Source organism: Homo sapiens, chromosome 2 (genome assembly GCF_000001405.40).
Source record: "Homo sapiens chromosome 2, GRCh38.p14 Primary Assembly".
NCBI lineage: Eukaryota > Metazoa > Chordata > Mammalia > Primates > Hominidae > Homo > Homo sapiens.
The window spans coordinates 241,447,903-241,473,904 of NC_000002.12; the positions used below are offsets into that span (position 1 = coordinate 241,447,903).

A 26,002-nucleotide genomic window follows, 5' to 3' on the forward strand; every position below is an offset into this window, starting at 1 on the left:
GCCTCTGGGAAGGTGGTGGTGCCTCCCCGGGGCTCTAAAGCACCTGCTGCCCAGTGGGCAGGGTGCTCAGTGAGCACCTGAGGCCAGGGTGGGAGGCACCTGGCAGTAAGCCCTTCCTGGAGCTCAGCAATTGTACCTGCCACACCAGAGCAGAGGGGCTGTGGCAGCAGCATGTTCTAGAAAGGCACTTGTCAGAACAAACTCATGGGTCTCCTCAGAGCCCATGGATGGGTAGTTACTTCCCACTTAGAGGAGAGGGAAAAGAGTCCCAGGGGCCTCACTTACCCCCCCTACATCATGCCAGCCCTGCTCCCTGACCATCACCCTCCTGGTCCTGGGGCCACCCCTGCCCAGCATCCGCTGCCTAAGGATGAAGTGGGAGGCACCTGGGTGCCTAAATCCTGATTTCAAGAAACTGCTCAAAAGCATTTCTGTATGAGGTCTATAAGTTGACTGATTTAGATGGTAAAAACCATGTGGCCTTTATGTTCTTCAAATATGTCAGTTCAGATTATATTTCTTTCCTAATCCTAATAACTATCACCCTTTATTTAGTTTACTTTAATAGTTTGTTTTCGGGACCTTGCCTCCATTGTTCCAATAGAAAGATTAATAAGTCAGAGCATGCTTCTCAAAGTTTTGGACACAATGTATTAGAACAAAAACATAGAGGCTGTGGAGCACCTTCACTTATTCAAGAGGAGACCGTACACCTGGCAGATAGCAGATCTGGACAAATGGCCCAAAGCACAACTTGCTGTTATAGGTTAGAACACCTGTTTTTCTTAGGAAGGAAAAGGTCTCGTTTATTTAGCGCAAAACAGGAAAGAAACAAAGATTATTGGGAGCACTTCGTGTGTTGATACAGTTGTCTGAACCATGGGAGAGCAGCAGCGGTGGCTCCACCGTGTGCTGCCTACCAAGCCGTGGTCCAAGGCTTCGTGTGTCAGCTCGTTAAAACCCCAAATGGCCCTTGGGAAAGCTGTGCCATGCATCACACCTTCACGTCCTGTCCTGTGGGCAGTGATGCCGGGTAGGGAGGTGAGCTGAATGCACAGTAAGAGATGAACCAATACCTGGACCCCTTGCCATTAACCATTTTTCTATCTCCCGCTTGTATTCTTTGAGCCAGATTTTGTGTAAGATCCACTCATGACATCCTCTTCCAGTAGAGAAGCCAGAAATAATTTTCGGCTAACTCATCAGGTTCACATTTACTTGGATCCCTTGGATAGTTCCACATTTTCCTTTTCTTCTGGAATTAACAATTCATTTGGCCGGGCGCGGTGGCTCACGCCTGTAATCCCAGCTCTCAGGGAGGCAAGAGGCGGGAGGATAGCTTGAGCCCAGGACTTCGAGACCTGCCTGGGCAATATAGCGAGACCCGGTTCTCCAGAAAAAGGAAAAAAAAAAAAGAAAGACAAAAAAAATAAGCGTAACAATTCATTCATTGAGCCTCAGTTTCCTGTACCGCCTCTGAAGTCAACCTTCAACTTGACCTTGAATTTTGCCAAGCAGGAGCTGATTCTTCCTCCACTAATAGGCAAATATTTTCAAGAATCATTTGTTAGAGTTTTAAAGAGGAGAATTTAAAAGTATGAAATAAAAATAACTTTACCTTTTTCTCTAAATGTGATATTTCTCTTTCATCATCTAGTTAGATGAATAAAAACAGTGTCTTGAAGGGAAAAGTGAAGGTAAGCACAAAAGTTTAATTAACATTGTGATTTTTAAATGGCATTTCAGAAATCATATGATGAATATTGAGAAAATTCTGGAAGTAAAGAGACTGCCACAAAGAAAATCACCTGCCAGACCGGGCGCAGTGGCTCCCGCCTGTAATCCCAGCACTTTGGGAGGCGAAGGAGGGTGGATCACAAGGTCAGGAGTTCGAGACTAGCCTGGCCAACACAGTGAAACCCCATCTCTACTAAAAATACACACACACACAAAAATTAGCTAGGCATGGTGGCGGGTGCCTGTAATCCCAGCTATTCAGGAGGCTGAGGCAGGAGAATCACTTGAACCCGGGAGGCAGAGGTTGGAGTGAGCTGAGATCGCTCCATTGCACTCCAGCCTGGGTGACAGTGCAAGACTCCATCTCAAAAAAAAAAAAAAGAAAATCATCTGCCAGAGATGCCCACTGCCGACAGTCTGAAATAACAGTTTTAAATTTTATGTCTTTTGGCCAGGAATCAGAGCACTTTGGGAAGCCAAGGTGGGAGGATCATTTTAGCCCAGGGAGGGAGTGAGAAGTTCAAGACCAGCCTGAGCAACATAGCAAGACCCCATCTCTACAAAAAACTAAAACATAGCTGGGCACAGTGACATGTGCCTGTGATTCCAGCTACTCGGAAGGCTGAGGTGGGAGGATCGAGCCTGGAGGTCAAGGCAAAGCTGCAGTGAGCCATGATTGTGGCACTCCACTCCAGCCTGGGCAACAGTGCAAGACCCTGTCTCAACCAAAAAAACAAAACAAAAAAGGCCAGGCGCGGTGGCTCACGCCTGTAGTCCCAGCACTTTGGGAGGCTGAGGTGGGCGGATCACGAGGTCAGGAGTTCAAGACCAGCCTGGCCAACATGGTGAAACCCCGTCTCTACTAAAAATACGAAAATTAGCTGGGTATGGTGGTGTGTGCCTGTAATCCCAGCTACTCAGGAGGCTGAGGCAGGAGAATTGCTTGAACCCAGGAGGTAGAGGCTGCAGTGAGCTGAGATTGAGCCACTGCAATTGCACTCCAGCCTGGGAGACAGAGCGAGACTCAGTCTCAAAAAAGGCTGGGCATGGTGGCTCACACCTGTAATCCCAGCAATTCGGGAGGCTGAGGTGGGCCAATCACTTGAGGCTAGGAATTTGAGACCAACATGGCAAAAACTGTCTCTACTAAAAATACAAAACAATTAGCCAGGCACAGTGGCACATGCCTGTAATCCCCGCTACTTGGGAGGCTAAGGCCTGAGAATCGTTTGAATCCAGGAAGCGGAGGTTGTAGTGAGCTGAGATTGCGCCACTGCACTCCAGCCTGGGCAACAGAGCAAGACTGTCTAAAGAAAAATAAATATATATATTTTGAAGATGATCAAATCTTGTTATTTGCTGGAGTGTGGTGGCCTGATCATGGCTCACTGCAGCCTTGACTTCCCAGGCTCAGGCATTTCTTCCACCTCCACCTCCTGAGTAGCTGGGACTACAGGCAAGCACACCACCACACCTGGCTAAATTTTTGATAATTTTATTAATTTTTTTGTTTTTGTAGAGACAGGGTTTCACTGTGTTGCCAAGGCTGGTCTCAAACTCCTGGGCTCAAGTAATCCACCCACTTCGACCTTCCAAAGTGCTGAGATTACAGGCATGAGCCACCACTCCTGGCCAATTTGCCGCTTTGAGAGTATTTCAGATGTTATTCTTTTCCCAAAGTGCAGTCTATGCAATGAAGCCCATTGGTGAACAGCCAGTGGACAGTTTGTGATCCATCCCAGCAAAAGTGCAGAGCTCAGTAAAACATAACTACTGTTTGTATCTCTCAATTTCAAGTCTTTTAATGTTGGCAATTGAAGTCTTGTCTATGGGTAAAGAAATCAGTCCTTGAGGATATAGTGAGATAGCTGGGCCTCATCTTTGTGTGTGGTCGGTGTGTCCTCCTATGAGTTGTATATGATACGAATTTTATAAAAGGGACTCTCGAAACTCAGAGCAAGACTGATTCTTACTGGCTGTTTCTCAGTAGATGACCTCGGATTTAGAGTTTATTTTTTACAGATACCTAAGATTAATTATTTACCATGTCAAGTAAAGCTAAACATATTCTGTGGCACCTAAAACTTGATATTTAGCATTTTAAAACTTCTCTGCCTTTTTTTTTCTTTTTTTGAGACACAGTCTCACTCTGTTCCCCAGGCTGGAGTGCAGTGGTACGATCTTGGCTCACTGCACCCTCCACCTCCCGGGTTCAAGCGATTCTCCTACCTCAGCCTCCCGAGTAGCTAGAATTACAGGCATGCACAACCACACCCGGCAAATTTTTGTATTTTTAGTAGAGATGGGGTTTCACCATGCTGGCCAGGCTTCTCTCAAACTCCTGACCTCATGTGATTCACCTGCTTGAGCTTCCCAAAGTGCTGGGATTACAGGCGTAAGCCCGGCCAACATCTGCTTTTAACCATGCATTCTGATATGCATTATCAGTGTCAAAAAGATTTTCTAAGACAGAGGAGCACTACGGCCAAGTGTCCTTTTATGATATCCACAGAATTCAAAATTGCAGAGCCTAAAAGGCACTAACTTTATCCTGTCGTATGTCACTGTGGAAAGCACTCTTCAGAGCCATGTTCCCACACTTGTTTTCTCACTGTGGAGTACATCTGTGTTGGTGACTTCAGCTAAACCTGTTCCCCAGGGATAAATGCAACAGCCCATACAAAATCAGGCATGAGGACACAGTCCAACAACTTCGTGTATAAATAAAGTTACACATTCATCGCCAGTTGCTTGTTTTAAAAATAAAAAAAAAAAGTCTCCCCACAGATTTACTGACTTTCATGTAGGATCTGTGTTTGTGTAATTTGAAGTAGGCTTGATTTATAAGGTTTGCTATAGCTAACATTTAAAGAAATGTTTAAATTAGGCACAGTGGTGCATGCCTGTAGTCCTAGCTACACAGAAGGCTAAGGCAAGAGGACTGTTTGAGGCCAGGAGTTCAAGTTCAGATTGGACTTCATAAGATCCCATCCATTAAAAAAAAAAAGAAAGAAAAAGAGTCTGGGCACAGTGGCTCACATCTGTAATCCCAGCACTTTGGGAGGCCAAGGCAAGTGGAGCACCTGAAGTCATGAGTTCGAGACCAGCCTGGCCAACATGGTGAAACCACATCTCTACTAAAAATACAAAAATTAGCTGGGCATGGTGGCGGGCATGTGTAGTCCCAGCTACTCGGGAGGCTGAGGCACGAGAATCGCTTGAACCCAGGAGGCAGAGATTGCAGTGAGCCGAGATCATGCCATTGCACTCCAGCCTGGGCGACAGAGTGAGAGACTCGGTCTCAAAAAAAAAAAAGAAAAATGTTTAACGGTAATTTGTGGTACTTTTTAATGTATCCACTAAGTTGTGAGTTGACCATTTTTTGTTAAATAGAAATTATTTATAATAGGGCCGGAGCGGTGGCTCACACCTGTAATCCCAGCACTCTGGGAGGCCAAGGCGGGCGGATCACTTGAGGTCAGGAGTTTGAGACCAACCTGGCCAACATGGTGAAACCCTGTCTGTACTAAAAATACAAAAATTAGCCGGGCATGGTGGCGTGCATCTCTAGTCCCAGCTACTCAGGAGGCTGAGGCACAAGAATGGCATGAACCCAGGAAGCAGAGGTTGAAGTGAGCCGAGATCGTGCTACTGCACTCCAACCTGGGCGACAGAGACTTTGTCTCAAAAAATGTATTTGTGGCTGGGCGCGGTGGCTCATGCCTGTAATCCCAGCACTTTGGGAGGCCAAGGCGGGCAGATCACAAGGTCAGGAGATCGAGACCATCCTGGCTAACATGGTGAAACCCCGTCTCTACTAAAAATACAAAAAATTAGCCAGGCATGGTGGTGGGAGCCTGTAGTCCCAGCTACTCGGGAGGCTGAGGCAGGAGAATGGCATGAACCTGGGAGGCGGAGCTTGCAGTGAGCCGAGATCGTGTCACTGCACTCCAGCCTGGGTGAAAGAGCGAGACTCTGTCTCAAAAAAAAAAAAAGTATTTATAATATTATCAAATGATGACTTTTAACCTCCGTAGGACCAAAAATGTTTATTCCAAATGAGCAGTGTATCCTAAAGTGGAGTGTCCTTCCTTTATGAGGGGTTGTTTACTGGGAGTGGCACTTACTGGTTTTTTTTTTTTTTTTTTTTTTTTTTTTTTTTGAGATGGGGCCTTCCTCTGTTGCCCAGGCTGGAGTGCAGTGGTGCAATCGTGGCTCACTGCAACCTCCACCTCCCGGGTTCAAGCAATTCTCCTGCCTCAGCCTCCTGAGTAGGTGGTATTACGGGCACATGCCACCACACCTGGCTAATTTTTGTATTTTTTTAGTAGAGACAGGGTTTCACCATCTTGGCCAAGCTGGTCTCGAACTCCTGACCTCGTGATCCACCCACCTCGGCCTCCCAAAGTGTTGGGATTATAGCCATGAGTCACCGCACCCGGCCAGGAGTGGCCCTTTCTAATTTACAGCCCTATTACCCCACCCTAGCCATGGCCTGTTTGCAACCCCAGCAGCGTCATAGCAGCACACATTATGATGGGCCTCGTGAGTATGCCGTTTCCTCAAGTTTTACCTCCTGCAACTTAAAGGCAGATTTTGCAGCAACTTTTTGGTAAACTGTCAACTAGTGGCTTGCTGTTGGACTGTACTTCTCTGAGTGAGGTGCTGTGAGGACCCCTGGAAGGACACAAGGGCAGAATAGTGAAGGCCGACGCTGACTTCCAGAAGCAATGAGTGGGAGACATCTTCCTGCCACACCCTGAGCAACACAGTTGTGAAGAGTAAATAGACACTAGTAGCTTCTAGACTTTTTCCGAATTCTCATCACATAAAATATCTCCTTGTGAAATTCTGGCTTATTGAGGACAAAGAAGATTCTGGAACACAAACCCCAAACAGCGCATCTTCGGAAACATGCCTGTTTTCAACATAAGAAGTAATCCACGCTTCAGGGGCTAGCACAAAGCCACAGTTCCACTTTGAGTCCTTCAGAAGTGACAAAGACCAAATGTGGCCCAGTATGTGAGGCAAGGCGGAAGTAGGAATTTCATGCTGTTTTAAGGTTGCTTAGTGTACTTTAACTGAAGGTGTAATAAAAGCAAATTCTAATAAATTTGTTGTTAATAATTTCCTATAGTGATGTTACCTAGGTTTTCTATAGCAATGAATGTTTCCTTGTGTTTTCAATGTATCTTGTGAAAAATTCCAGAGGAAAGCTCTGCTATCATGAGCACTGATATTTCATCTTAAGAATCCTAATAACTAGAATTCCTAGCAGCAGGCAAGATCTTTCCAGGGCTCCTGATTTGTCAATGTGAAAATAAGGACTCCCTCCCCTCCATCTCCCATGTCCCACTGGAGGGTTAACCTGTTGAGTTGCTTATGCCAACCCAGCAAACAGGGAATCATGATGTCAGCTGCTCTCAAGAAGCTGCTCTATACTAATCTGCCTGTACACTTACATGTTTTAGGTTAAGTGAACCAAGTTTGGGTTCTATAAACTGGTCACTATAAGCAACTGCATCTGAAGGTGCCAACAGTAGTGTGAGAGAATCTTGCTTTAAAACCAGTTGTGGGTGGAGTAAGGAGTCACCATGGTGTGGCATTTATGCGACCAGGGGTTCAAATTGAGTTACTTCTGTTGCAACATTTGGTAAGCTGACTCAGCAATCATCGTTAGAAATCATGATAGTTTCAGTGTTCAAACACTGTACACTTGGAAACATAAATTTACATCTTTGATAGTTTTGTTTGTTTTGAGATGGAGTCTCACTCTTGTTGCCCAGGCTGGAGGGCAATGGTACAACCTCAGCTCACTGCAACCTCTGCCTCCTAGGTTCAAGCGATTCTCCTGCCTCAGCCTCCCAAGTATCTGGGATTACAGGCACCCGCCGCCATGCCCGGCTAATTTTTTGTATTTTTAGTAGGGATGGAGTTTCACCATGTTGGCCAGGCTGGTCTCTAACTCCTGACGTCAGGTGGTCCACCCCCCTCAGCCTCCCAAAGTGCTGGGATTACAGGTATGAGCCACCATGCCTGGCCTTTGGTGATTTTTAAACAGCAGTTAAATTCCTTCTCTAAAACTCTAAAGTTTTCTTTTTTTTTTTTTTTTTTTTTTGAGATGGAGTCTTGCTCTGTCATCCAGGCTGGAGTGCAGTGGTGCGATCTCGGCTCACTGCAAGCTCTGCCTCCTGGGTTCATGCCATTCTCCTGCCTCAGCCTCCCGAGTAGCTGGGACTACAAGCACCTGCCACCATGCCCGGCTAATTTTTTGTATTTTTAGTAGAGATGGGGTTTCACCGTGTTAGCGAGGTAAAGTTATCTTTAAAATTTGGCACTTAATAGTTACTGGTTTCCCATAGAAAAACATTAGAAATTAACCTTTGAGAATTTTTTTAAATAGAAAAGGATTTTTTTATTATAAAATACACAATGAAATATATTTCATCATCTTTAGAATTGGGCTGCAAATTTGGCACCTATTTATTCGAAAACAAACATGGTTTTAAGAAGGGGAAAATTATTACTGTGTTTTAGAAAACCAAAATAAAATCCCCATTAATGAAAAACTCAAGGAACTGGAAAACAGTATCATGAATTGAGCAGTTTTATATGATCCGTTTTTTAATGAATAATAAGTTTGGCCTTAAAATAGACATTGTCTTTTCAGATGTTAGCCCTGGTTTGACATCTTAAGTCTCTAACCTCTAGCAATGCACATAGAAAGTGTTCCCCCGTCCTGGTGGTGCCTTTTGCTTTACACACTTTGTGGTGCTTAGTTTTATCATAGTTACATATTCTGCAGAGCCCAAAAGAAGCCCCTAGAAACACAAGGTTGGTATCCAGGCCCCCCTAGAGTCCGGGGAGGATCCACACTGTCTGTGGATTGCTCTCTGAAATTGGGTAGATGAACCATCAACCCTCATTTTCATTTTATGTCATGTTTAGAATTGTGTGTGATAGAGGCTGTACATACACATTTTACAGGAAGCGCCTGGCACTGTGTGAGGCTGGCGGTTGAATGGTCAGGAGAGTAGTAGCGGCTCTAAGCCAGCCTCACAGCCCTTTCTCATTTCTCGCTCCATCCCCCTCCCCGTTCATTTCCAGGCCTTTCCACGAAGAGTCCTCAGCCTTCTCCCTCCAGCCGGAAGAGCCCCCTGAGTCTGAGCCCTGCATTTCAGGTGCCTTTGGGCCCAGCTGAACAGGGCTCATCCCCACTCCTGAGCCCTGTCCTCAGTGATGCTGGCGGAGCCGGGATGGACTGCGAGGAGCCCAGACACAAGGTGGGCCCCTCGAGGCTGAGAAGCTAGCAGAGGGTTGCAGGGTGGGCCTGTTTTCACTGTTCCTTCGGGTGGTGCTGGTGGGGACCCTGGGGCGGGGCAGGGAAGGGCTCTGCACTCACAGCCGCCTTACCAGCCTCCTGAGCAGAGAGGAGGTACTGGGCCGCCTTCCCTAGCAAAACCTTCCTGAGACTTTCCTCTTATCTCTGGGACTCCAGGTTCCTTCGTACAAAAACGAGTTTCCTTATTCATTTAGCAAACGGTCCCTGGAACCCACAGGCTCCATGTGTCAGGCTGGATCTTCCAGCCTCCCCCACTCTTCCTTCCTTCCTTCCCACCTTCCTCATTTCTCCCTCCCGTCCTCCCTCCTTTGCTCCTTTCTTCTCTCCCTGCTTGGTCAAGCTTCTACTTTGACAATTGAGTAACTGGGAGGAAAGATCTGGGTGCTAAGGGAGGGTGCACTAGGGACTGCTTTGGGTTCCGGAGAGGCTCTTGGGCAGGAGGCCCAGTGTAGAAAGATCTGGGTGCTAAGGGAGGGTACACTAGGGACCGCTTTGGGTTCCGGAGAGGCTCTTGGGCGGGAGACCCAGTGTAGAAAGATCTGGGTGCTAAGGGAGGGTGCACTAGGGACCGCTTTGGGTTCCGGAGAGGCTCTTGGGCGGGAGACCCAGTGTAGAAAGATCTGGGTGCTAAGGGAGGGTACACTAGGGACCGCTTTGGGTTCCGGAGAGGCTCTTGGGCGGGAGACCCAGTGTAGAAAGATCTGGGTGCTAAGGGAGGGTGCACTAAGGACCGCTTTGGGTTCTGGAGAGGCTCTTGGGCGGGAGACCCAGTGTAGAAACATCTGGGTGCTAAGGGAGGGTGCACTAGGGACCGCTTTGGGTTCTGGAGAGGCTCTTGGGCGGGAGACCCCGTGTCGATGTTGGAGACAGTGGAGGAGCCACCTGGGGCGAGGGGGCGGTTCTCTGCTGTTGTGGCACGGGGAGGGGGGCACATGGGCCACAGACAGGGGTGAGGCTTTATGACAAAGTTGAGGCAGTGTCCCCTATGGGTCTCTTTTTATCAGAGATGATAGGAATAAGGGCACAAACTGAGAGTCTGCAGGGAGAAAGTGACCGAGCAGAGAAGCTCACTGCTGGCAGGCACAGGGCAACCAGGGGCAGGGATGCTGTGGCCTCAGGGTGGCCTCCACTCTCCTAGCCCAGGGGAGTCTGCCTACAGCTACGGTTTTGCAGATGGACCCTAAAAGAAAAGACTCAGGGTCCAGGGAGTTTGTAGACTATATTGGGCCTGGAGTCCACAGAGAAGGGAGACATGGGGTCCCTGAGTGGCAGCTGGATGGGAAGAGGCCATGGGGCCTCTAGGAGGGAGGGAGTCAGTGCTGGTACAGGGGGAGGTATGTCATTGTGACACCTCAGCACTCCTGCTTTGGCCCGAATTGGCCAGAGGATATTCTGTCCAAGGCCTGCCTTCCAGATGCCAGGGCTACCCGTGGGATGCTGGGACTCTCAGCAGGTAGGATGGCACAGGCAGGGCAGTCTCCTCCTTCCTGGTGCCCTGAGGGTCCCCCTGGATCCCACTGGAGTGGAAGGAGCCCCCTGGTCTGGAGGCAGCAAAGGATATTAAACGTACTGCTGCACGAGGCCTGCAAGTGAGGGCTAGTTCTGGGCCCTGGCAGCAAGACTGTTTCCAAAAAAGATGTCTTTTTATTTTATTTTGGAAACCTAATGACAATCTCTTTAGTTCACTGTTTCTTTGGTACAAAAAAAAAAATGGCTACCAAGCAGTCTGTTATTAAGACTAAATTTTAATTTGTAACTTTTTATATTACAAAAATCAGTTGATTCTTTAGATGGTTCTATAGGATGACAGCTTGTCACATCTGAGGATAATTGGGCTGGTGGCAAGTGGCCCTGGGAGAAGCCTGTGAGTCATGACGTGGCATGGGGCCAGCAGCATGGCAAGGCCCTCTGGGATGGGGGCACCTCAGGGTCCTCACCGAGCCATGCCCTTGAGGAGTTGGTGGCTGGGTCACTGCAGAGAAAGATTCGGCAGCCCTTGGGCCCAGCCCCTGCGTGTGGGCACCCTCAGCCCTGACGTGGTGTCTCCTGTTGCCTCTCCTCAACACCTGGGCTCTGGAGGGAGGGCTCTGGGCTCTGCTTCAATTCTGTGTGTGTGAGTTGAGATAGCAAGGCTGTTGCCCAGCACAGGTGGGCTCCGAGATGGCAAGGATGGCCCTTTCATCACCATGCAGGGGCTGCTGGTTTGACCCAGAGGTAGGTTCCCACCAGAGTACCCCTCTGTGCTGACCTCATGAACCAGTGTGCCCAGCCAGGCTGCAACAGGTTCTGGGGAGACCCCGGCCCCACATTCACTGACGGTTCTGCTGGCAAGGCCTGGCAGACCACTCTCCTGGGGAGCCAGGGTGACAGGGGTCTGAGAAGCACGTGCTGCCACTGAGGCCACCCGTCAAGCTTTTGCACTTGCACCCAGTTGCTGGGCTGTGCGGGGAGGGGCAAAGAGCTGCCCACCCTCCAGCCCACCCTCGCCAGCTGGTGCCCTCCTCCCCAGTGTCTCCCACTTGATGCACTGTTTGTCCCCTTTTTAATAGAGATTTGTGAGGATCGGCCACAGTCGAAAGGTAGGAAAGCCAAAGGTGGCAGAAGCCTCTTCCACGCTCTGCATGGGCACATAGACCCTTCATGTGGGGACAGGTGGCGAAGCTCACAGGAATTGCATGCTCCTCTGGGCCTATCCCTGGCCGCCGTCTCATCCCTGGCCTGCAGCCCAGCTTGCTGGGGGTCAGGTTTGACATTGATCTAGAGGTGGGGGCAGCGTGGCAGCTGCTGTATTTTCTGTCCCTGAGAGTCTTCTCACGGTATTCCTTGGGCTGATTGGGCGGGGCGGGGCGGGGGCAGGGGCGGGACGGAAGACCCTTCTCTTGGCCAGTCTGCTCCCCTGACTCCCCTGTGACCCACTGGTGGCACCTGTGATGAGAAGTCTCATCAGCGACTGCTGTGGCTCTCTGATGGCGTATGTGTCTCTATGTGCCTCGCCCCTGGAGGAGTGGAGCTGCTCCGGGACTCGAGCATCCTGTTTCTTTCTATAGAACAACATTCAGAGTTAGGACATTGCCTTTGGACTCCATGCCACGGTGACTGTGGCTAGGAAGTTGTCCTCCCTCTACCAGACTCTCCCCCAGGGCCCAAGGCCAACAGTTTGTGGGGCATTAACATGTAACATCCCTGTCCCTCAGCTGTGTGGGGAAGGCTGGGGCCTCCCAGACCATAAACATGGGCCTCTGGGGACGGGACCAGCTCTGCCCCCAGAGAATTCACTGGGCATATCAAGCTCAGGTGGAGAAATGACTTCTTTTTTTAGAGATGGGGTCCGTCTCTGTTGCCCAGGCTGGAGTGCAGTGGTGCAGCCACAGCTCACTGCAGCCTTGTACTTCTGTGCCCAAGTGATCCTCCCAACTCAGGCTCCCAGGAGCTGGGATTACAGGTGTGACCACCTGCTTGGCTAACCTTTTTTTTTTTTAAGAGACAGGGTCTCACTATGTTGCCCAGGCTGGTCTCAAACTCCTGGCCTCGAGTGATCCTCCCATATCAGCCTCCCAAAGTGCTGGAATTAGAGTCATGAGCCACCACATCCAGCCAAGAAAAGACTTTGTAAAGAGATTTTACTGAATTTGGATTTGAAAGATGGGCTCAACCTTTCATTTGAAAGATAAAAAAGTCATTTTTAATATCATGAAGCTCAAAAAGAAAAAATAGAAAAAGCCTAAAGGCTGGAAAGGTGGTTCAGCTTCTCTGTGGGGAGGAGGCCAGTGCACCAAGAGGTGGGGGCTGAGCTGGTGGCAGAGCCACATGGTGGCAGGGCTGTGGGAGCCAGGCAGGCTGCCAGCCATGGGGAAGAGCTGAGAGAACAGCAGTGGACGTGTGCAGGACTCTGGCGGGGGAGGCACAGCACCTGGGCACTGGAGGGCTCTAGGCAGCAGCATCTCAGTAGACTGTAGGGTGCTATCCCTTCACAGCTGGCTATATCCATGGGCTCAGGACTCACAGGATAAATGTGCCTCTGTTGTCCTCTCATCCACGAGGGTAGACAACCCTGCAGGCTCTGCTAAACTTCACAGCAGTACAAGGAAGAAGACATGGCTCCACATGCCACCTCAGCTACTTGCTCACTTGCAAACCCAGCTCCTGATACTCCTCCCAAACCTCCAGTCATGGCAGCTGGTCTTTCCCTTGGCTTAGGCCAAAAACTGCGGCAGTCACCCCTCCTGCCTCCAACCCTCACACCTTACCTCCACACCGGACCTTCAGAATGTGTCCAGGATCTCACCCCTCACCCCTCCGCGCCCCCCAAGCCAGTGCTGTCTCGCCGGGTGGTGCTGAGGTCCACCGGCAGCCTCTCTGCCCTCCTGGTCTGCTCTCATCCTGGGGCCCAAGTGTGTCACAGCACATTCAGGTAGACCCCAAAGGGTCCAGAAGGCCCACGTGGCCTGCTTCCCCACCAATAGCCTGTCTATTCCCTCTGACCTCCCCACATTGCTCCAGCCCCTTGACCTCTGACCTGTCCCACAGGCTGCCCGGTCTGCTCTGAGTGAGGCTGCGGCCTACTGTGTCCCCCAGCCTCCAGCCCCTCCTCTGCTCTGCGTTATGTCTTGTACAGCCCTCTGTGCTTCTTGCCTGTCTTCTCCTGGTAGGACACCCTCACAGGGGCAGGGGGCAGTGTCCAGGCGCCTATTCGGAGCTGACACCTGCTCCATGGATATTTGCACGGCCCACCTACCCTGAAGCTGGCCACAGTCTGGAGGTGGGGCAGGCGAGCTGCCAGGGCAGAGCAGGATCATGGTTTCTGGGCAGGGAGAGGACGGAGAAGAGGCTGTTAAGTTTTACCTCAACAGAGGGTGGCTCTTGGAGGGTTCAGGGTGGGGAGAGGCCCTGCAGGGACAGGACCCAGTGCCTGCCAAGGCCATCATGAGGCATGTGCTTTGCCAGGAACACTGTGTTGGGTGAGGTGTAGAGGGTCCCCTATGGCCAGCTTGCCTGCTTGGCACCAGCACCTTGGGCAGAGATAGCCCTGCCAGCTATAGGATCGCTCAGGGCTGGGCTGTCTCTAGCAGGGCACGGAAAACTGGGCCCGGGGTATGTTCCACGTCTGCATCAGGAAGTGCACCAGCAAGTCTGGCGCTCTGATGCAGGCACACTTAGAATGCGCACTGTTTGCTCATTTTAATGACTTTTGTATGGGTTAGGTTTAATAATTTATAAGCACACACACACTCATGGACCTGTGTCTGCTAACCAGCTATGCCACTGGCAGTGATATATAAAAAATGATTTTATCACAAAACCAATAATAAACTTCAACCCTGTTTACATATGGTGATATTTGAACAGCAATTCTTTTTTCCAAAAGAATAACAGGATTATGTTTTTACTCAGGGATAAATCTCTTCAGAAGTTGAAGGTGAAAACCCCATGACGATGTTACCTTGAGCAGAAGAAAGCAAACATTACCAACTTCAGGCTCCCTGAGCGTGGGAGGGTCCCATGTCCCAGGGACGCACACTTACAGCTCTCTGCTTCTTTCAGCGCGTGCCTGCAGACGAGGCCTACTTCATAGTCAAAGAGATTCTCGCTACAGAACGAACATACCTCAAGGATTTAGAAGTTATTACCGTGGTACGAAAGTCCTTGATTACTTTGATTTTTTTTTAAAATAAATCTCTCATCTGAACACAGAGAAATATCTCTTTTTTTTCTTTTTTTCTTTTTTTGAGATGGAGCCTCACTCTGTCACCCAGGCTGGAGTGCGGTGGCATGATCTCAGCTCACTGCAACCTCCGCCTTCTGGGTTCAAGTGATTCTTCTGCCTCAGCCTCCCTAGTAGCTAGGATTACAGGCGCCCACCACCACACCCAGCTAATTTTTGTATTTTTAGTAGAGGTGGGGTTTCACCATGTTGGCCAGGCTGGTCCCAAACTCCTGACCTCAAGTGACCTGCCCACCTTGGTCAGCCTCCCAAAGTGCTGGGATTACAGGTATGAGCCACCGCCCAGCCAAGAAATATCTCTTGATAATCATGAGACTTGCTTGTATATATTTTGTTAAATATATCTGTTTTAAAACTATTCTAAGTCAGGTCAGAACATTGGGTCCAAGTTTTTGTGAAGCTATAAAGCTGCAAAGTGTCCATTTGAAACTTTTGATGTAGGATAGTTTCATTATATTTGAAAACTGGATGGTCAACAAAGAGGATGGCTGTAGTGCTGATCTGAACCCTCTTTGTAGGCGGTGACTGGAGGGTCATCACTGGGTGACCTATGGCTACAGGCCCTCAGGGGCACAGTTTCTCAGTCCCCAACAAGAGCCACACCTCCCATCACACCACACTCTTCCCACAGTGGTTCCGCAGCGCAGTGGTGAAGGAGGACGCCATGCCTGCGACTCTGATGACGCTGCTCTTCTCCAACATCGATCCCATCTATGAGTTCCACAGAGGCTTCCTGCGCGAGGTGGAGCAGAGGCTGGCACTCTGGTAACACCCCTTCAGCCCCCACACGGGAGACTCCCACACCAACTCATCATCACCGCTCTTAGGAACTTCCCAGCTTCAGAAACTAATTCAGAAGAGCCATTTTTTCACTGGAGCATATTTTTAGGAGCCTGTGGGGAGAGGTACAGATGTAATAATACCCTTTATTCACCCTCTTCCAGAAAAGAGAGTGCAAGGAGCAAGTTAAAAATGGAAGATCCCTTTTTGCCTGGTTACTATCTGTTTTAGAGAATGGCCAGACACATAATAGCAGCTTCCATCCAGGGCAGGCCCTGCCCTGCGGCCTCTTCCACCTCAGAGCTTCACCACCTTCCTCCAGCTGGAACCAAGGCAGCTGTCACCCTGCGTCAGATTACAGTGCCTTCTGCAAGCTTTCACCATGTTTAGGATGACTTTGTTTCTTTTTACTCAGGGAAGGGCCCTCCAAAGCCCACACAAAAGGCAGTCATCAACGAATCGGGGACATCCTGCTCAGGAACATGCGCCAGTTAAAGGTAGGCTGCATGGTGACTACTGCCTACATGAATGCTGTTTATGGGAGCAAAACCATCTTCCCGAAGCTGAGGCCCGTCAGAACAGCGTCCCCTCAGAAAAGGGTCCCCTCAGAACAGGATCCCCCTCAGAGTAGGGTCTCCTTAGAACAGGGCCCCCTCAGAGCAGGATCCCTCCAGACCAGGGTCCCCCTCAGAACAGTCTCCTCAGAGCAGGGTCCCCTCAGAATAGGATCCCCCCCAGACCAGGGTCCCCCTCAGAGCAGGGTCTCCTCAAAACAAGGTTTCCTGAGAACAGGGTTCCCCTCAGAGTGGGGTTTCCTCAAAACAGGGTCCCCTCAGAGCAGGGTCCCCCCAGAGCAGGGTCCCCTAAGAGCGGGGTCTCCTCAGAACAGGGACCCCCTCAGAGCAGGGTCCCCTTAGTGCAGGGTACCCTCAGAACAGCATCCCCTCAGAGCAGGGGACCCCTCAAAACAGGGGCCCCCTCAGAAAAGGATTTTCTCAGAACAGAGTCCATCTCAGAACAGGTTCCTACTCAAAGCAGGGTTTCCCCAGAGCAGAGTCCCCCCTAAAGCAGGGTCCCTCCAGAGCAGGGTCCACCCAAAACAGGGTCCTCTCAGAACAGGGTCTTCTCAGAATAGCATCCCCCTCAGGCTCTCAGAACAGGATTCCCTCAGAATAAAGTTCCCTCAAAACAGAGTCCTTCTCAGAGCAGCAGCCCCCTCAGAACAGGGTCTCCCTTGAAGCATCATTCCCATTAGAACAAGGTTCCCCAGAACAGCATCACCCTCAGAACAGGGTCTCCTCAGAACTCTATCTTCCTCAAACAGGATCCTACTCTGGATGGGGTCTCCCTCAGAATCTTGTTTCCCTCAGAAAAGAGTCTGGCTCAGGGCAATGTCCAGGGCCCCATCAGGACACTGTTTCCCTCAGAACAAGTTCCCTCCTCACCGCATCCCTCAATAAGGGCTCTCCAAGAATAGGATGCCCCTGAAAACAGCATACCCCTCACAACAGGGTCCCCCAGAACATGGTCTCCCTCCAATCAGAACTACCCCCAGAACAGACTCCACCTTAAAACATTGTTTGCCTTAGATCAGGGCCCTTACCAGCCCCAGAACATTGTTCTCTTCAGAACCTTTTTCTCCACTGATAATAGCATTCCCTTGAGGACAGTGTCCCCATTTCCATCAGGACAGGACTCCCCCAGAACAGTGTTCACCTCAGAGCAGGATTCTCCCCCAGAACATTGTCCTCCTCAATGGGTCTGCCCAGAACAGCATCCTCTTCAGAACAGGGCCTCCCTCAGATCAGGGTTCCCCACAGAACAGAGTCTTCCTCAGAACATCATTCTCAGGACAGAGTCCCCCCTCCCCAGGGCAGGACCTGTTCAGGGCAGAGTCCCCATAGCTGCTGTGGGGAGGGCAGGGCCCTGGGACTTGTTTCCACCTTGGCTGCTAGGCTCATAGGTTTTTCTTTCAGGTGTTCCAGCTCCACGAAGGGCATGTAGCAGGGGTCACAAAAATGGAGTAGACTTTTGGATAGGCAGGGGCAGCACTGGGGGAAGTGAGATTTCTCTTCAATAGGAGCAACGGTACAGGTGTTCACATGTGGACAACAGTGCAGGTCGTGCATTGACTGTTCAGGGGTCTCACTCTTGCTTAACGTGCCTGGAACAGTTCTCCCTCCCTCTCAGGCTGCTCATGAGTTCACCACGTGACCGCCCAAGGTGTGGAGCTCTGCATAACACCATGAAGCTGAGCCACAGTGACGACGACGACTCAAGCTCCCCCTCCTCCATCCCTCGCCTGTCCCACCTTCTACCCAATCCTGCGAGACTCTGGCCACTCCTCACACCTAGAGTTCCCAAGGGACTATAGGTTTTGCTGTTCTGTGTTGAGATAGCCCCACTTGAAGAACTGCATTCAGCCTAGGTGCCCTTTTCCTGCCTCGACGGAAGCTGAGTCAGGTTGTTAATGAGAAAGTTCTACTTATCCCAAAGGCAGTTGCACTAATTTAAAATTGAAATATACACAAATCTGTTTGATCCAGATTATCATACTGTAGTCATCTTTAATGTTCATTAAAACAAAGGGATTTGATATTAAAACCCTTTAGCTCTGGGGAGGCAGCCAAGAGCTCTGTCCACAAAACCAAATCTGGGTGTCAGAGGCCAAGACCCCAGGTTGGGATCAGGGACCACCCCCTCACGGGGCATAAGGTCAGTTTTCCCCCAGAGCCCGGGCCCCTGTCCCCCTACAGTGCAAGTGTGGTCCCTGGAGCCCCGGTGTGGAGTGGTGAGTCCCGGAGTAGTGCTTGTCTTGGAAAGAGGGGCCCTTGGCCAGCCACCCCTCAGCGACACTATACAACTCCTGGAGCGCCTGCCAGGATTGAAGCCATGACCAGGTGCAGGTGGGTGCCAGGCCCGCTGTGGGTGGGCACTGGTCCTCAGCACCACTCACCACTGCCAGGCAGGCCGGGGACCAGCAGACTCCTCAGCCAACCCTGTCCCTTGGCCCGGCCCTGCCACAGAGAGGGACCCCAGCCCATCATGGGCATCGGCAGGGCTTGGCCACTTCCACCTCCCGCTAGAAGCCTAGCGAGTGTGGATGCATAGACATCTGAGCCCAGCTTCCTGCATCCCCACCTGGCCCTCACCACCCCTCACCCCCAGGCAGCGGGCCAGCCCCGCCTTCACTCCCCTTCCAACCACCCCCCCCCCCACCACCACCACCCGTACCCTCCTAGGGGCTTCCAGAGCTTTTACACCTGGAGAAACATTCCCCACTCCCCTTTGGCCTCCCTGTACCCTGAACTGTGAATATTTTTAACCCCTAAATATGTAAATACGGCCAGCTCTTGTGACACAGAAGCTGTTTTATCAACTGTCAGTCCCCATTCCTTTATGATAGGATTCTCCACAGTGGTTTCCGACTCAGGCTCCAGTGGACCAAATAAAAGTGTTTTGTTAAAAAAAAAAAAAATGTAACCCTTTAGCTGAGCGCAGTGGCTCATGCCTGTAATCCCAGCACTTTGGGAGGCTGAGGCAGGTGGATCGCTTGAGTCCAGGAGTTTGAAACCAGCCTGGCCAACATAGCAAAACCCCATCTCTACAAAAAATACAAAAATTAGCTGGGTGTGGTGGTGTGCGCCTGTGATCCCAGGTACTCAGGGGGCTGAAGCAGGAGAATTACCTGAGACCAGGGAGGTTGAGGCTGCAGTGAGCTATGATCGCACCACTGCACTCCAGCCTAGGTGACAGAGTGAGACCTTGTATCCAAACAAACAAAAAAACTTTAAGTTAGAGAATAGTTTAGTTTAATATGTCTGTGTAATACTCAGAATCCACATACATGTATACATGTGTTGTAAAATCATCAGATATGGGCCAGGCATAGTGGTTCAAACCTGTAATCCCAGCACTTTGGGAGGCTGAGATGGGTGGATTGCTTAAGCTCAGGAGTTCGAGACCAGCCTGGGCAACATGGTGAGACCCCCATCTCTATAAAAAATATTTAAAAAATGAGCCGGGCGTGGTGGCACATGCCTGTTCTTGCGGGGGGCTAAGGTGGGAGGATCACTTGAACCCGGGAGGCAGAGGTTGCAGTGAGCTAAGATCCCACCACTGTACGCCAGCCTGGGCGACAGAGCTAGATCCAGTCTCAAAAAAAAAAAAAAAAAGTCAGGTGTGGTTATTCCCTCTGTCCAGTAACTGTGCCAGCACAACCGCTTAGTTCCACTCTTGAGAGAAGTTTCTGGAGCGAGCCCTAAGACTGGGCAGGACTCGGGTGGGCTTTGTTTAACCCCTGCCCTGCACTCCCTTACTGTGTCCCACGCAGCCAGCTGCAGCCTTCCCATCCTCAATTCTTCATCTGTCCAGTGGGGAGGTGGCCCTGGTCCACTCAGTGCATGTGATATGGGGCCGGTTAGTGGTGCATGTAGCAGTGAATTGGTGGAATGAGGTGCAGGTCACATGGCATCTGAGACGGGTTGAGATGCATTCCGTGGAGGCTAGAAAGCCCCCGCTGGCGCACGCTGGGCCACTGGTCCATTTGCCCTGTGGGGATTTCCAGCCGGCACCTGCCATCAAGGAAAACAGGCCAGTCTCCCCCTGGACTCCTACATCTCCTCACCTAAAGGCCCCACTCTTGCGCCTCCACAGGAGTTTACCAGCTACTTCCAAAGACATGACGAGGTCCTAACAGAACTGGAAAAGGCTACCAAACGCTGTAAGAAGTTGGAGGCAGTGTACAAGGAGTTTGAGCTGCAGAAGGTCTGCTACTTGCCTCTCAACACGTTCCTGCTGAAGCCCATCCAGCGGCTGCTGCACTACCGCCTGCTGCTGCGCCGCCTATGCGGACATTACAGCCCCGGGCACCATGACTACGCTGACTGCCATGGTGAGTGTGGGTGCGGCCCTGCATCTCAAGGATCAGCGTGCGTGGCTGGGAGGCAGGGGCGGCTTTGCCAGACCTGAAGACTTCCTTCACTGGGAAGCGCAGGAGTCCACCCCATTAGGGCCTGGACCACAGTGGTCAGCATTGGCCCTGGCCTTCCTTCCCGTCTCCTCTGGCTGCTGGCAGAGGGCAGGTCCCAGGCTACACCAGGTCTCTGTCTATTCTGCTCCTCCACCCTCAGGCAAGGCCCTGCCCATCTCCACGTCTGAGCAGTGTAGGGGATGACTCTGATTGCCCTGCAGGAGTCACAGGGCATGCTCCTGCTGGGGACCCCACAGCCCCCACAAGTGCACTGGGGAATGGGGTGCAACCCCCAGAGCAACCTGCTGCCTATGGATGTTTCTGTCCTGGAGGCCTTGGCTCTAAAACGTACAAAAGATTGGGCCAAGGTGACCTGTTAGAAGTTTTTAACATAGGCAGCCTTTGTAATTTTTGATGTTTATTAAAGGGATAAAAGAGTAAACTCTGACCTTTTTAACCTAAAAATAGGATTTCTAATTTTATTGTAAATTTAGTCCCCTTTTCTGAGATGACTCAGGCATGAGGGGAACATTGCTCTAATGGGGACCTATTCTAATGGGGATGTGTTCTGATGGGAACTTTATGCTTATCAGGAGGTTTTTTGTTTTTGTTTTTGTTTATGTTTATGGTTTTGTGGTTTTTTTTTTTGAGACGGAGTTTCATTCTTGTCGCCCAGGCTGGAGTTCAGTGGTGTGATCTTGGCTTACTGCAATCTCCACTTCCCGGGTTCAAGTGATTCTCCTGCCTCAGCCTCCCAAGTAGCCGGTATTACAGGCGCCCGCCACCACACCCAGCTAATTTTTGTATTTTTAGTAGAGATAGGGTTTCACCGTGTTGGCCAGGCTAGTCTCGAACTCCTGACCTCGTGATCCGCCTGCCTCAACCTCCCAAAGTGCTGGGATTACAGGTGTGAGCCACCACATGAGGAGGTTTTTACAAGTAAATTTTATCATTGTCATTAAAAATAGATGAAAAAATACTTAGCATTTCCTCTAGCTGGTTTCCCATAGCCATGAATAGATATAAATAAGGATGCTTTCTGATTAGCAAGAAATAGAATGGATCATACAATGTTGACGATTCTCTTTCTTTTCATTCTAAAAGAAAATGTTTCATGTTTGTTAAAAAGGAGAAGGACAAAATTATAGAAAACATTTTCAAACATTTTAAGGAAAACATGACATAACCACACCATGTTTAAAATGTTTCTCATTGTCAGTCATTATACCACAGTAGTTAGGTAGGCAGAGTGCTGGAGCAGAGGTTGGCCTGGGCCCGGGCCACCAGGGAAGCCATGCCATGGAGAAGACTGGGGCCCAGGTTCTGGCCACATCTACCATGTGCTTGAGGTACATAGGACTTTGGAGGGATTCCTGTACCTCACAACATGACAGGTTTTTCATCAGTAAAATGTATAGACTGGTGCAAAACCTCTGTGAAGCTGTTTGTGAAAGTGCTTTGAAGTTGTCAACTCAACAGAACACTGATAACCATCAGCCTCCCTAGGTTTGCTTCAGACCTCAGCCATCTCTGAAGCGCAGTGAGAGCCCAGTCGATGAAACATTCTCAGCTGACACTATGGCAGGCTCCTTTCCCTCCATGACCCCACTCTCCAAATGTGGGACACAGGAATGCTTGTCAAGAAGGGCCTTCTTGGAAAATGGCCTTTGGTGTGCAAATGTTACCAGCCTCTTGGTCTTCCTGAGAACTTGAATAGAATTCTCTTGGACAAAAGGGAGTACATTTGTTGGGGCTGGCAGAAGCCAGCCTTGCAATTTTATTTATCCTTCATTTTGATGAGAGTTTCCAAGGGTGCTGGATGTTAAGTGTATGTTGTTGATCCATTCTATCATGCACCTGCTCTGCCTACTGCTGTGGGGGAACCTGTTCTGAGGGGGACCCTTTTCTGAGGGGACTCAGTTACGAGGGGACGTGGCTCTCAGGGGGTCCTGTTCTGATGGGGATGCGCTCTGAAGGGATCTTGGACGGAGGGGGACCCAATTCTGAGGGGACCCTGTTCTAAGAACACTGCTCTGAGGAGATTCTGTTCTAAGGGGACCATAGTTGGAGGAGGACTCTGTTCTAAAGGGGACAGTGTTCTGAGGGGGGACTCTGTTTTGAGGGAAACACTACTCTAAGAGAACCTTCTTCTGAGGGGGACCCTTTTTTGAGGGGGACACTGTTCTGAGGGGACTCAGTTATGAGGGAGATACTGCTCTCAGGGGGTCCTGTTCTGATGGGGATGCACTCTGAGGGGATCTTGGACTGAGGAGGACCCTGCTCTGAGGGAGGGGTCCATACTCTGAGGAGACTCTATTCTGTGGGGACCCTGTTCTTAGGAGGATACTGTGCTGTGGGGACTCTGCTCTCAGGTGGATGCTGCTCTCAGGGGACCCTGTTCTGAAGAGATGCTGTTCGCAGGGGGATGCTCTGAGAGGACCTTGTTTTGAGGAGACCCTATTCAGAGGGGGACCCTGTTCTGGGTGCTCACTACCCTGAGGGAACTCTTATGTGAGGGGAATGTTATTCTGGGGGGGACACTACCCTGAGCGGATCTCGTTCTAAGTGGGGAATAGTGTCATGGGGGAACATGTTCTGAGGAGGATGCTGTTCTGAAGGGGACCCTGTTCTGTGGGGGATTCTGCTCTGAGAAGGACCCTGTTCTGAGGAGGATTCTGTTCTGAGGGGTCTCTGTTCTGACGGGGGTCCTGTTCTGAGGGGGATGTTCTTCTGAGGGGACCCTGTTATAACGGGATACTGTTCTGAGGGGACCCTGTTCCGAGTGGGATGCCGTTCTGAGGGGACCCTGTTCTGCGGGGAATACTGTTCTGAGGGGGACGCTGTTGTGAGGGGACACTATTCTGAGGGGATGCTGATCTGAGGGGACCCTGTTTTGTGGGGATCCTGTTCTGTGGAAACCCTGTTCTGAGTGGGATGCTGTTCTAAGGGGACCCTGTTCTACAGGGGATTTGATTCTGTGAGGACCGTGTTCTGTGGGGACCCTGTTCTGAGGGGGTTGCTCTTCTTCTTTTTTTTTTTTTTTTTTTTTTTTGTGTGAGACGGAGTCTCGCTCTGTCACCCAGGCTGGAGTGCAGTGGCAGGATCTCGGCTCACTGCAAGCTCCGCCTCCTGGGTTCATGCCATTCTCCTGCCTCAGCCTCCCGAGTAGCTGGGACGACAGGCGCCCGACACCACGCCTGTCTAATTTTTTTTGTATTTTTAATAGAGACGGGGTTTCACCGTGTTAGCCAGGATGGTCTCGATCTCCTGACCTCGTGATCCGCCCGCCTCAGCCTCCCAAAGTGCTGGGATTACAGGCATGAGCCACCGCGCCCAGCCGGGGTTGCTGTTCTACGGAGACCCTATTTTGTGGGGCATCTTGTTCTTGTGAGGACGCTGTTCTGAAGGGAACCTGTTCTGTCAGGATCCTGTTCTGAGAGGACCATGTTCTGTGGGGACCCTGTTCTGAGGGGATTATGTTCTGTGGTGATCCTGTTCTGAAGGAATCCTGTTGTGAGCAGGAGGCTGTTTTGAGGAGAACCTGTTATGTGGGGAACCTGTTTTCTGGGAACACTGTTCTGAGAAGACCCTGTTTGGAGGGGGATGCCATTTTGAGGGGATCCTGTTCTGGGGGGGTTCTGTTCTGTGGAGACCCTATTCTGAGGGTAGTGCTGTTTTGAGGGGACCCTGTTCTGAGGGGACCCTGTTCTTAGGGGGATCCTGTTCTGAGGGGGATGCTGTTCCATGGGAACCCTGTTCTGAGGGGACCATGTTCTGTGGGGAACCTCTTCTGTGGGAACCCTGTTGTGAGGGGATTCTGTTCTGTGGTGATCCTGTTATGAAGGAATCCTGCTTGGATTCCTTGAGATGCTGTTCTCAGGGGACCCTGTTCTGTGGGGATTCTGTTATGTGGGGGATGCCATTCTGAGGGGGATCCTGTTCAGACGGGGATGCTGTTTTGAGGCGACCCTGTTCTGAGGGAGATTCTTTTCTGTGGGGACCCTGTTCTGAGGGGACCCTGTTTTATGGTGTTCTGTGGGGATTCTGATCTGAAGGGACCCTGTTCTGTGGGGCATCTCATTCTGTGAGGACCCTGTTCTGTGGGGAACCTGTTCTGAGAGGACCCTGTTCTGAAGGGAATGCTATTCTGAGGAGACCGTGTTCTGTAGGGATTTTGTTCTGTGTAGACGCTGTTCTGAAGGTGATGCTGTTTTGAGGGGACTCTGTTCTGAGGGGACTCTGTTCTGAGGATGCTGCTGCTCTGAGGAGACCCTATTCTGTGTGGATTCTGTTCTGAGGGGACCCTTTTATGTGGGAGATGCTGTTCTGAAGGGACTCAGTTCTGAGGGCACCCTGTTCTGAGGGGACGCTATTCTGAATGTGATGCTGTTCTGCGGGGACCCTGTTCTGAGAGGGATCCTGTTCTGAGGGGAACCTCTTTTGAGGGGGATGCTGTTCTGAGGGGACCCTATTCTGAGGGGGATGCTATTCTGAGAGGACCCTGTTCTGAAGGGATCCTTTTCTGTGGGGACCCTGTTCTGAGGGGGCTGCTGCTCTATGTGGCCTCTGTTCCAAGGGTGATGCAGTTCTGAGGGGACCCTGTTGTGAGGGCATTATGTTCTCTGGGGACCCTGTTCTGAGGTGGACGCTGTTCTGTGGGGATCCTGTTCTATGAGGACTCTTTTTCTGAGGGGACTCTGTTCTGTGGGGGATTCTGTTCTGTGGGCATCCTGTTCTGTGTGGATTCTGTTCTGTGAGGACCCTTTTCTAAGGGGACCCTGTTCTGTGGTGACCCTGCTCTATAGGGACCCTGTTCTGAGGGGACCCTTTTCTGAGTGAGATGCTGTTCTGAAGGTACCCTCTTCTGAGGGGACCATGTTCCAAGAGGACCCTGTTCTGTGGCAGATGCTATTCTGTGGGGGCCATGTTCTGAGAGGGACCCTTTTCTGAGGGACCCTGTTCTGCAGGGGGCACTACTCTGTGGAGACCCTGTTCTGTGGGTTCTGTGGAGAATGTCAAGGCAGGTCAGGTGATGTATAGGATCATTATCGTGCCATCAGGTCCAAAATGTGTCCTGAGCTTCCAGCAGCTGCCAGTCCCTACCGAGGTGCAGCACAGTGTCCATGTGGCAGTCAGGCTCCCAGCCCTGCAACTGTGTGGACTCAGCATTTGAGGGCAGGGTGGCACTGGTGCTCTTTGAGTGGATTCAAGCAGCCATGCAGCAAATGGACATGGCGTGATGAGTCTCTGCCTGACATGATGTCTGGAAGGAAGGGCTCAGACCCAAGTGCTTGAGGGATGGCCAGCCTGGGAGAGCCAGGGGATGGGGGCAGGAGCTTAGAAATCTGCACAGAGCAATAGGGTTGGTAGCTGCCAAGACCTATGCTGGCTTCACTGAAGTTCTTCCTCATTTTCAGTGTCATGCAGGTATCATTGACAGAAAGTGAAT

The 26,002-nt window shown here is 50.7% G+C and overlaps 1 protein-coding gene across 12 annotated transcripts in view, besides 1 other annotated feature; it reads left to right on the top strand.

Moving 5' to 3' along the window:
- FARP2 (FERM, ARH/RhoGEF and pleckstrin domain protein 2) overlaps positions 1-26,002 on the top strand; it is a 138,557-nt gene that overhangs the window by 91,618 nt on the left and 20,937 nt on the right. For 10 of the 12 annotated variants that reach the window (XM_047446511.1, XM_011512233.1, NM_014808.4 and 7 more), the window contains 5 exons: positions 8,845-9,020; positions 14,621-14,710; positions 15,433-15,566; positions 15,997-16,078; positions 20,238-20,475. In XM_047446511.1, coding sequence (XP_047302467.1) covers positions 8,845-9,020; positions 14,621-14,710; positions 15,433-15,566; positions 15,997-16,078; positions 20,238-20,475 — 720 coding nt within the window. Of the gene's footprint in view, positions 1-8,844; positions 9,021-14,620; positions 14,711-15,432; positions 15,567-15,996; positions 16,079-17,557; positions 18,127-20,237; positions 20,476-26,002 lie in introns of those variants that run through there. The other 2 variants (NM_001282983.2, NM_001282984.2) reach the window with 2 other exon arrangements.
- Positions 20,448-21,010: an enhancer, noted in NCBI's record as "H3K27ac-H3K4me1 hESC enhancer chr2:242407765-242408327 (GRCh37/hg19 assembly coordinates)". NCBI's record gives its function as "activates a minimal SCP1, AML or CMV promoter by ChIP-STARR-seq in primed H9 embryonic stem cells {active_cell/tissue: H9 hESC(primed)}" and the evidence as "EXISTENCE:reporter gene assay evidence [ECO:0000049][PMID:30033119]".